The sequence below is a fragment of the Homo sapiens genome, chromosome 2 (genome assembly GCF_000001405.40).
Source record: "Homo sapiens chromosome 2, GRCh38.p14 Primary Assembly".
Taxonomy (NCBI): domain Eukaryota; kingdom Metazoa; phylum Chordata; class Mammalia; order Primates; family Hominidae; genus Homo; species Homo sapiens.
Genome location: NC_000002.12, coordinates 55,942,351 through 55,954,476, shown reverse-complemented (window position 1 = coordinate 55,954,476; position 12,126 = coordinate 55,942,351). Strand labels below are relative to the sequence as shown.

The 12,126-nt window shown below is 37.2% G+C and overlaps 1 long non-coding RNA gene and 1 pseudogene across 1 annotated transcript in view, besides 1 other annotated feature; one reads left to right on the top strand and one right to left on the bottom strand.

Moving 5' to 3' along the window:
• LOC105374690 (uncharacterized) overlaps positions 1-8,653 on the bottom strand; it is a 231,734-nt gene extending 223,081 nt beyond the window's left edge. Inside the window, exons 1-3 of the long non-coding RNA XR_940109.3 lie at positions 8,566-8,653; positions 6,121-6,238; positions 2,238-2,618 (exon numbers count right to left, since the gene is read on the bottom strand). This is a non-coding gene — a long non-coding RNA (uncharacterized LOC105374690). The remainder of the gene's footprint in view (positions 1-2,237; positions 2,619-6,120; positions 6,239-8,565) is intronic.
• Positions 1,646-2,845: an enhancer, noted in NCBI's record as "CDK7 strongly-dependent group 2 enhancer chr2:56178767-56179966 (GRCh37/hg19 assembly coordinates)". NCBI's record gives its function as "activates an origin of replication core promoter dependent on BRD2, BRD4, P300/CBP, MED14 and CDK7 cofactors, with strong dependence on CDK7, by STARR-seq in HCT116 cells {active_cell/tissue: HCT116}" and the evidence as "EXISTENCE:reporter gene assay evidence [ECO:0000049][PMID:35650434]".
• Positions 2,463-2,698, top strand: RN7SKP208 (RN7SK pseudogene 208; annotated as a pseudogene).
• Positions 8,654-12,126: the final 3,473 nt, after the last annotated feature.

Here is a 12,126-nt window from a genome sequence, read left to right as displayed (position 1 = left end):
TTCTGAGCCAATCCTACACACCACAGGCTACACATGCCTACATTAGGGCAATACACAAATCTCTCATGTAAGCTTTGCTAAAGAGTCACTTCATGTGGCCAGCAGATAACAAGCATATCAGAAAATGTTCATCTGTACATGCCCTTGGGAAGATATTTTCCATAAGGATACGTGAATATCGTATCTCCATAAAGAAAACTATTCTCTCTCTGTTGGAATTGTTTTTCTGCTTAAAATTAAGCAATTAAGAATGTTTTCTTATTCTGCAGAGGAATCACAGAGAAATGCTATCCCACAGATTCAGAAACTGCCTCTAAACCATAATAAATTTTCTTTTCAGATCTTTTCTTTTTTCTTTAAGATTCTGCTTTCAAGTAAACATGCTTTTGTTAGTAAAAGCCAGATTCTTGTCAACTTAGTTTCTAACAGAAACTCTCTTTCTCTCTCTCTCTCTCTCTATATATAATAATTTTATGTATTTTGTAATATATAGAGAGATATATATTATAAAAATATACAAATTGTAGGTCTCGTCACTAAGAACACCTACATCATCAATGTTCTTGCAGGAAGAAAGGCAAGTATTTAAAGAACAGAAAATTAAAGTAAGCATTTAAGGGCGGTGGTAAAACAAGTACTTACAAACTGCTGATGTGCAATTTGGTATAGAACCCCATATAAGCAAATTGACAATATATATTAAGATGTAAAATGGTTATACCCCAGATCCAAAAATTCCACTTTGAGGGAGATATTATTTTAAATACAATTACAATAGGAAAAATTTTGTGCACAAAGATATTTACTGCAGCATTATTTTTAATAGAAAAACAGAAACAGCATATATGTTGAACAGCAGGAAAATGATTAAGGAAAAAATTATATAATCTCTCAATAGATTACTATGTAGCCATGAGAAATACCTATGAACATTGGTAATAACATAAAAATGCTTATAATATTAAAAAACAGAAAATAAGCCAATATTATAGATACACATACATATATAAAAATGCTTGCTTATAAAAATGAAAGAAAACCCTTCATGTAAAAAAAAAAGATGAAAGGAAATATTGGATGCTTTTTTCTCTTCTTTCTTTTTCTGTATTTTCTAAATTTTCTTCAATAAGCTCCTTAAGGAAACATTTTGAATAAAACAAGAGGAATTCTAAACAGACATGGATTAGAACTGATGCTTAATATTCCTAACCAAAATTATATTAGGTCTGAGAGAGGGCAAATGTGAAGAAATTTTTGTGGCATTACTGTTTACTGAATTAATTCATAATTAATTCATTCAATGAATAGTTATATAAATTGTCTGAGGGAGAGAGGGAGGGAATCATAGAAGTCATTGCTAACCCAAGAAAATCATCTAGTCCACATTACGCAGCAGCAGGAAGAATGAACCCTAGGGGGACTGAAATGTAATTTAAGAATTGAAATAATATAGCAGCAGAGAAGTCATATGAAGAGAAACTTCGGACAAGGCAGAGAAGATCGGAAATATTAGTACTGCAGAGATGCACTGAGGTCAAGGAAAACAAGGAGAAACAAAAAGGCACAGGAGTTAACAAGTTAAAGACTACTTGGGAAACTAAAGCTAGAAATCAAGTCCTGGAGGGTGAGTGGTGAGGAATTGGAGGCAGTGGGTGCAGATTAGACCCAGGGTCATTTGCTTTGTCCTTTGCAGAATAGGGGAGACAGGCATGAGTTTGGAAGCAAGAGGAGGGAAGAGACAGAAGATTGGAGATGTGGAAACAGCCCAGAACCATCCTGTCCCCTGCATGCCCCCGACCATCAGAGGCTGCCCATGTACCATATATGGCTGTTCCTGACACGGAAGTGCACCTCAGCTGGCTCTAAACATCTTTGAGACTTTATCTCTAAACCATGCCTCACCACAAGTCGTCTCTCCTAATCAAGCCATTCTTGTGCTACTCCCCTCATGCACTCACATGGCCTTCTCTACCTCTGGGAATGTTCCTTCTCTGCCCCTTTCTCACGTTCTCATTTCCTGCTACCCTTCACTGTCAGGTTCCAGGGCTCATCCATGGTCCTTGTATTAATCTTCTAGGGCTGCCATAACAAAATACCACAGCCCGGGTGGCTTAAAACAACAGACATATTGACATATTCTCTCACAATTCTGGAGGCTAAAAGTCTAAAATCAAGGGTTGGCAGAACCATGCTGTCTCGGAAGGCCATAAGGAGGGTCCTTCCTTGTCTTCTCTTACCTTTTTGGAGGTCCTGGAAATCCTTTGTGTTCCTTAGTTTATACATGCGTTACTCAAATCTCTGCTTCTGTCTTCACATGGCTTTCTCCACTGTGTGTCTGTGTCTCTGTTTTCTCTTCTCACAAGGACACTAGGCATTGGATTAGGGCCCACCCTAATCCAATATGACCTGATTTTAACTTAACTAATTACAACTGCAGAGACCCAATTCCAAATAAGGTGACAGGATATGAGGGCGATATGGCTGCAACATCTGTCACTCCATTGATCACCAGGGTTGATTCGGCTGATCTGGCTGGCTAGGCAGGTGTCCTCTTCCTCCCTCACTGCTCCATGTGCATCCCTCCAGAAGCTGCGCACTCGGGGGAAGAAGGTGACCATCTGGATAGAGGAGGACCAGTCTTTGGTCAAGGATATACAAGTAGCTGCACTCCCCTGCTAGAACCTCCAAACAATCCCAAATAAGGTAAGAATCTTAGGTTCTGGGTAGACATGAAATCCCGGGGCGGTGAAGGGAGGGGACTCTTCAACTCAGTACAGTCCTCATCCAGTCCCAGAGAGTGGCCATTCCACTGTGGTCTCATCTGCTCCCAGTCCATCTATTCTCTGCTTGTTACTGTGAAATCTGTATCCCTGGCCTTAAGCTCAATGCCACTCTTTAGAGCTATGCTTCCCACTGCCCGCTGGACAAATCCACAGGCCCTTTAAACAAAACAGCCACTTCCAAAAGAGAGTCCAAATCCCATCATGGCTCCTGTGTTTTCTATTTTATTTCATAACAAATCTATCTGGCCTCCCAAGTTAAGAAGCATTAGCATTATCTTCAACTTTCTCTTCTTCCTAATCCCCTCCCACCACATCTGATCAAAAAAATAGTCCCTGTGGAATCTATCTCACAAACCTCACTCAAATTTGACCTCTTCTTTCTACTTCCATTGCTAAGGCCTTAGTTTGCTCTCAGCCCTTCCTTAGACTATATAGGCAACACAAAGGCTCAATTCAGTAAAATATAGCACACCTATGTGCTAGGTGCTGGGCATACCAAGAGGAATTCAACACAATCTTGCCCTTGTGTAGCCCTCAACCTCTTATCTGGTCTCCCTGCCACTAGGCTTAAATGCATTTTCTTGTCAGAAAACAAATCTTATAATGGCATGTTGTGGCTTCCAATTCTCTTTTCACTCTCTTTTTCCTAGAAGGTGAAATGCAAATCCTCCCGTAGTCATGGAAGATGTTTCACAGTCTGCTTCCCCCTGTGCCGCACCCTTCACATCCAGCACTTCATCTCTGCCATGGTGGGCTTCTCATTCGTTCCAGATTTATTCCTGGGAGCAGTGTTTTCTTTTATCCAAAGAGGCTTTTCTCCCTTCTGTGCCCTGGGAAGCTCCTACCTACCTTTAAAGTGCCGCCCAAATGACCTGTCCTTTCTTACCTCTTATCAGAATCCAACAGGGTTCCTCCACACTCTGTGCCCCTACAAGACTTTGTTCAAATCCCTGTATAATCACATTTGCCACATTGTTGAAATTTATCTTTTTCACTGTCTGTCTCCATCGCTAGACCAGGAGCTCACAGAGGACCAGTACCAGGCAGCACTCATGTATCTCAGTCTGAATGAATGGAATTATGAATGCACCCTGCTCTCTTTGTCTTAATCCTACCCAAGGTTCCAGGCCTGGCTCAGTCCCGAGCCCCTTCCCTGGACTTTCTCAGCCACTCACTCCAGGCTATGAGTGTCTCCCTTCTCTGAAATGACCACAGTACTGACTCTCTGTATCACCAGCTTGGTGCTTATAACATGGTACTTTGTGCAATTGAATGTCCCAGTCTTCCCTTTTGATGCACTTCAAAGTTTCTTTTCCAAACTTAGTCCAATAATTTGCACCATAGTAGATGCTCTGTAAATATCTGCTAATTGGTTATTCAGTTTGGGGATGAGGGGGTGGAGTCCTAAAGAAAATGAGAAAGAGTGAGTTCCAGGACAGGTGGTAGTTTTGGCTATAGAATAGGTAGAGTATATTTTCTCCCATGAAACTAAAAGGAGGGGAAGAAAAACATAGGAAAATTATAGAGGAGAATACAAAGGTCCTAATTAGGACAGCCTTGGTCTTATTTTTAAAATAAGCATGGAAAAATAATATGCTGATTTAAGTATGCTACATGAATCTTAAATACAGCCAAATAAAAACAAATCAACATTTACCATCTACAGCTAGAGAAAGAGAAGGCAAGAGTGCAGGTAATTTATCTAAAATGGAACACATCATGTACACACTTTATGTAAACTTGCCTCTACATGATTATTGGAAAGGATGTGAGTAAAAGAACTGTAAAGTGTAGGCAGTTCTGCCGTCTATTCCACTGAAGGAGCATTCACTCCCCACGTGCCCCTTGTAGTCTAAGCAGCTCCAGATGCTGATAAAGCCAAGCCCACTTCTTTAGTGATCTGTGTCTACAGCAAAGGAAACACTAACTGTACAGCACTTGCTGAGAGAGAGTGTGTTAGTATCTAATGTAGCACATATTTGTGATGGGATATACTAAAATTTATGAGCAGTTTAATAGGCTTTCAAGGATATTGACTTTGCATAATTTTCATATTGTATATTGACTTTAGTACCAAACCCCTAAGTAAGATGTGACTCCACTGTGTAAGTCAACTGGCCTATACTGATAGGTAACCTGCATTAAGAACTCTTATAGTATTTGCTATTTATACTACTCATTTTGGCATTTAGTTGTATGTTTAATTGCTGGAAGTTCAGGTGTAAATATGATTATGTTATCTAGACTGTAAGTTCATGTTATCTAGACTGTAAGTTGGTGACTGTAACCACATCATAAGCTTTTATACCCCACAGTGTGTATGGCACAATGCCAAGGACCAAACAAAAGTTCTTAATTACTGAAAGGCCATTTTATCAATGTCACTTTCTCTCTAATCAAACTCTGAATCTAAAAAAATAACTAAACATGTCTTATATTCTCTGTTATGCTTTCTAGGGTCCATTTTTAAGGAAGAGGCCCTTGTTTAACTCAAAGTTACTTCTTAAATTTTAAATAATTGGCTGTTAACATATTTGATTAGGAAGGCATGAAGAAGTTCAGTACAAAGGGTAATTTAAAAAGTTATTGTCATCAGCATTTTTCTAGAAAGATAATAAAAATCACTTGGGAAACAAGCCTGCCTTTATTGGTGGCCTGGGAAGAAACATCAAATCAAGCTAAGACCCACCCACTCCTTTAGAGAAAATATAAAACAAGAGAGTAAAATCTCCATGGAATAATCAACAAAATATAGATATTTGAGAAGATGAATCAGGATTTCTTCAGGTTTAAATAAATTATCATGTATCATCTCTAATTTAAAAACAACATTTTTAAAGTAAAATGAGCCTTTCATTGCTGATTCCTAGCATACTATTTCCTTAAATCCTTTCATTTCATTAATATAGCTCAGTTCACAGTGCAGCAGGGACCAGATGAAGATTGAGCAATTACTGAATGTCATGGGATTATAAAGATAAGCTATTTGGATAATTTAAGCTAAAAAAATAACTCTTCTTTATCTCCAGGGTGGGTTTGGGAACTTTGGTTATTCACTGAATTTGGCCAGCCTACATTTTATATTACCAGAGAAAACATTCTAAATGTGCTTCCAACATTAGAAAATTATTTCTGTTTTCAACATGTTCTGTGATAAAGAGATGTAAGATTAAATACCATCCCAGTTAAAAGTAAGTTTGCTGCCATTTTTACTATATTGGTCAGCTAGCTTTTTTTAACTCTTAAGTCAAAGTTTGGGGCATTAAAACAAATAAATTCACTGTTTTTTCAAGCATAAATGATATGCAATAAGCCTCAGAGAACAGAGGTTACTCACTCTGGTTGTGTTTTACTTTCTTGCAAACACATACTCATGCTCAATTGAACTGCCTCCAAGTGATTTTTAAGTATTAAAGGTGAACACAGCCCTCATTTTTCAGGGATATTTTGGGCAGCTGTTGTAAAAAAAAACAAACCTGATGTTAAATTAAAAAGTTAAAAGGCACTAATCAAGAAATTACCCAAAGTTTAAGCTCACATAAAAACAAACAAAAATGAATGATGTGTAACATTGAACAGGAAAAACATTTAGAACCCTTGACAACGGGTTCAAATTTCCTGACCTGCTGGACAAACTCCCCTTTCCACATCTTTCCTAGATTCCATCAGATCCTGTTTTTCTCTCTATAATAAACTGTCATTTATCTAGAATGCAATCAACCAGAAAGTTAAAATAAACAGGGTGGTGTTTTCCTACGCTCCCTTTTCCGTTAATTTGCAGGTGTTTATTGAATGCCTACTATGTTCCCAACACTGTGTTGGACACTGGGCATATGAAAGATGTTGCAACTGTTGCTTAGAATTCTAGAATTCTCAGAATTCTTAGAATTCTCTTTAATGAGGAAAGAATAACAAGCAAACAAGCTTTCAGAAACGTAGTCCATAAAGCAACTTCTAATATGTCTGTAAAAGCAATCCTGTTTCCATCCAACCTCTAACTGCCTTGTTCACCTATAATTACCAGGCTAAGCAATAACAGTCAAAGTTCTCTGACTGTAAGTGGAAAATACTATAAAATCCAGAAGTGCCAAAGAGGGTCAAGTCTCTTCCATACACTTTTAATTTCAAATGTATTTCTATTTTTTGACCTTTTTTATGTGATTAATCATTCATATGTTCTATTAATAAAACTAACCCGTTCTCCCACCTTATAAATAAATGAGGATTGAAGTCTCTTCCTATTCAATGCAAGGCCCAGCATGGAGTTTCAAAGGATCAACAAATAATTGCTGAATGATAGAGATTATGCCCATAATGCAAAACCCATGTTATTCTTACATGGATCTGTGGCAATGTAAGCTACAAGTTTCAATTGGAAGTTAAATTTTACTTCTCACCACAGTGACTTTCTAGTTTGCATGGAAATAATTCCATGGGTAAAGGGAAACTTGACAAAAAAGCGCAAATTTAATCTATGAGGAAGGGCATAATAATATTCCATAGGGGTTATCCATGCACCTCTGTCTCCATCTTCATAGCCGTCATTCCTGGGAAAATAAGAAAGTCCAATTTTCCCCATCCAAATTAATACATATCTGTTTCTAGTTCTCTACTAGATCATCAATAATTATGTCACAATGGGTAAATTCAATATATACAAGATTCTGATTTTAGAAAAACAAAAAACATGGAGTCAGCAAAAAATCTTTTGCTCTCCAGAGTCTCCTATTTTAATGCTCCATTTTATAGTATCCTGGACATTTTTTAGAAAAAAAATTTCTGTTAGAGAAACTGGTGAATAAACCAAGGAATTAAAAGTCCACCCTCTTTCACAGAGTACAAAGGAAATCAACATACTTTTAAAAAACACAGAATTATTCATTTTCACAATTGGTTTTCCATATTATGCATCTAACAAGTATGTTTGTAACTTCGACTAAAACACAATCCTTTTCATTACTAGTTATACCTTTAGCCATTATTATTTTATATTTCTTTTTTTTAACAAATTACCTAGATGTTGGGACAACAAGTTAACTATCTGAGAAAAAAAATAAAATTAGATTCCTACTTTTCATGTTTCATCGAGATTAACTCCAAATGAAATAAATATTTAAACATTTAAAACATAAAACCATGCAACTACAATAAGAAAATGTATTTGAACATTTGGATATTCTTGAACTGGAGCAGGACCTCCCAAGCTTAACACCGAAAACAAAATTCATGAAAGAAAATATTGATACACCTGACTACCTCAAAGTTTTAAACTTCTAGGTTTATAATTCCAACAATATGGTGCATCCCAAGGAATTTTTCTGTACAGGATACCTAAAAATTCTGAACAAAACATTTTTAAAAACCTTTTTAGAAGCATAGCTTAGATGGCAAGAAAATAAAGGAATTTTCAGAAGCAAAAATGATTTAAAAGCTAGAATCCAAAAAGGTAACCAAGCACTCAACAGCACAGTTGCCTGGAGGCATTTGCAGAAATTTGTGATTTCTTACAGTTTGGAGATATTGATTTTAATGAGGAATAGGAGACAGGACCAACCTAAAACAGAAATTAAGATCAAGACATTTCCACAAAGCTGAAATAATGAAAGGAGATATTCTCAATGAAAAAGGTAAACTAAACAAACAAACGAAACAAAACTATCCCACTGACTCACGAAGCAAGGGTTCTGGATTCTGGTTTCTGCATAAAGGAAAAAAAGAAGAGAATTCCTAAGAACTCATAGTCTCAGGCAAACTTTCACTTTGGTTTGGTAACAGGACTCACATTATCTATGCAGAGGAAAACAAAAAGATTACAGACTAAAGTAGCTCTTGGTTTCATTCCCCTGTTGGCTTGCAGAAGCAAATTTAAATTCTCTCTATAGAAGATAACTTTAACCCAGGCCTCAGATTTCCCACAGATAGAGTTCCAATGATTATGAGCTCACAAATAAAAATCACAAAACAAATAAGGAAACAAGCCACTATGAACAACAGTCAGCAGAATAATTATGCAATTCAATCAGACTCACAAAAATTGCTGGTATTAGAATTATCAGATATTATATTTAAAAATACATGAGTTTAATGTGTTTACAGAAAAAAATACTGAAAATGATGAAGAAACAAGGGAGTATAAAAATAGACAGTGGTGAAAAAGACAAAACGTTAAACTGGAAACTATCGTAATATTAGAAACCTAATTGTCAAGCTAATCTTCAAGTTAGAGCTGAAGAGAGAACCCATGGGTTAACAGATAAATCTGAGTACCCATATGCAGCAACAAGAATCAAAGATTTACATATAAAAGAGAGGTCAGAGATTGGAGAAGAGAGTCAGAAGAGAGAGACATATTTAATAGGACAGTCAAAGATAACGAAGCAAATGAGGAGATGCAAGAAAGTTGCTAGAATTGTGGAAAGGCATAAATCTTCAGATTCAGAATTATAACAATGCCAAGAAGGAAAAATGAAAATAAATCCGCACCTAGAGACATCATGAGAAATTACAGCACACCTGAGTTCAAGAGATCTTAAAAGAAGCCAGAGAGAAAAAAGAGATTATCTACAAATGAACGATTATTAATAAAATTATTGCTGACATCCATGAGCAACCATGAAAGCCAGAAGATTATGGAATAACACCTTCAACATGCCAAATAACAATAACTCTCAATTTGGAATCTTATACCCAACAGAAGTATCTTTCAAGATAAGCATCATGAAGACATTTTCAGACAAGCAAAAATGGAGTTTACCACCCACGTATCCTTTCTAAAGGAACTTCTAATGGAAACACTATAGAACAAAGAAAGATATGAAATTCAGAAGGAAATACCAAGAGAAAATATACTAAACATGTGGATGAAGTCAATAAAAATTCACTGCAATGATAACAATGTCTAAATTGTGGGATTTTAGAAAGATAGAACAAATATAAAATAATAGTAAAGGAAATGGTTATCAAAGTTAAAGTGTTCTAAGGTCCTGAAGATAGCGATGTCCTTTGAAGATTTTTAAGCTAAATATGCATAATAAAATTTTTAAGATAACCACAAAATTAATAGAAACAGTAGGTACAACTAAAAACTAGAAGAGGAAAAAGTAGAATGGAAGAAACAGCATAATAACAAACCAATCTGAAAGAAGGAAAAAAAATAAGGCAAAGAGAAAATGAAAATTAAGATGGTAGCGATAAATTCAAAAGCAACAATAATCACTGTAAATGAAAATGACTGAACACTCTCCTTCAAAGAACATACCAGACATGAGGAATAAAAGACTACAAACTGGCCAGGTGCAGTGGCTCACACCTGTAATCCCAGCACTTTGGGAGGCCAAGGCAGGCAGATCACAAGGTCAGGAGATCGAGACCATCCTGGCTAACACGGTGAAACCCTGTCTCTACTAAAAAAATAGAAAAAGTTGGCCGGGCATGGTGGTGGGCGCCTGTAGTTTCAGCTACTTGGGAGGCTGAGGCAGGAGAATGGCGTGAACCCAGGAGGCAGAACTTGCAGTGAGCCAAGATAGTGCCACTGCACTCCAGCCTGGGTGACAGAGCAAGACTCCATCTCAAAAAAAAAAAAAAAAAAAAAAAAGACTACAAATTAAGTTCAGTGTATACTGCTCCGGTGATGGGTGCACCAAAATCTCACAAATCACCACTAAAGAACTTACTCCTGTAACCAAATACCAACTGTTCCCCCAAAAACCTATGGAAATAAAACATTTTTTTAAAAAAGAACATATCAGACAAATACTAACCAAAAGAAAACCAAAAGACTCAAGTCATTGCTATATAATGATAAGAGAGACAATTCGTTTTTATACAGGAAAAAATGAAATTGGATCAATACCTGTATCAGTTAACTATTGTTACAAAACAAACCACCTCAAACTCAGTGGTTTAAAGCAGCAACGGTTTATTATCACAGAAAACTCTACAAGTGACCTGGTATTCAGTTGAAGTCAACTGGGCTCAGCTTAGGCTGTGTGGCTGGTGTAGCTCACCTCTTGGGCCTAGTGGACTAGCTCAGACATGTTCTTCTCTGAGCAATGGAAGAAGCAGAAACACACTAGGCCTCTTAAGGCCTAGGCTCAGAACTCATGTCTTTCTTCTCATTCTCTTGGCCAAAAAAAGCCATGTGACTAAAGCCAAGAGCTGGAGAAGTATCATCTAACTTTACAGGAGAAACTTGAAACTGCATGCCAGAGGATATGGTTACAGGGAGGGGTGACAAATTGGGATCAATAATACAGCTACCACAGCATGTGAAACCATGTACAAAAATTGCAGATGTGTAACAGCAATTAAATAGTATGAAATAAATAAATGTGAAAGACAAAATTTTACATCTTTCAGGAATAAACAGAAGAATATCTTTATATCCTCAGGGTGGAAAAAGGCTTTAAACAAGAAATCAAAAGCACAACTCATGAAGTAAAGCTTGATAAATTAAAGAACAACATCAAAAGATATCAAAGGAAATGGAAAAAATAAGTCACAAACTGAGAGATGGCATTTTCTGTGGCGGGGGGGCGGGGTGTGTGTGTGTGTGTGTGTGTGTGTGTGTGTGTGTGTGTGTGTGTGTGTGAGACAGAGAGAGAGAGAGAGAGAGTCTTGCTCTGTTGCCCAGTCTGAAGTGCAGTGGGAGTGATCACAGCTCATTGCAGCTTCAACTTCCCAGGCTCAAGTGATTCTCTAACTTCAGCCTTCCGAGTAGCAGGGACCACACCCAGCTAATTTTCAAATTTTTGTAGAGATATTTTTATGTTGCCCAGACTGGTCTAAATCTCCTAGGCTCAAGTGATCCTCCTACTTTGGTCTCCCAAAATGCTGGGATTACAGGTGTGAGCCACCAGGCCTGGCCAGATGATATTAGACCATGGTCATTGACTGGGTTTATATGCCAATGAGGCATTTCTGGTTTACCAAATTTATACAAATCTCGCTTTAATTGATAATCACAGATGCTGTAATTTAAGACCTCCAGCTATAGAGCTTTCATATTAACTGCTGATATATTACAGTAAATCATCTGAAATAACCAACTCCTGGGAGCACAGCAGAGAAGGAGGAAGTGCCTCCGAGAGCGACTCTCTCCCGGCCTTTTTCACACATAAAACTGACTTAGGATTAGTATCCAGAATTTATGAAGAATACCTTGGAATCAGAAAAGAAAAGGGAAAAACAAACAACCCAATAACAAAGTGGTCGGTCCAAAGACGTGAAAAGGCATTTCTCAGAGGACCAATAAATAGATGAAAAAGATGCTCGCCTAATCAGTAATCAGAGGAATGCAAAGTAAAACCACCATTTTACAGCCACCACTGATTTTAAAGTCTGA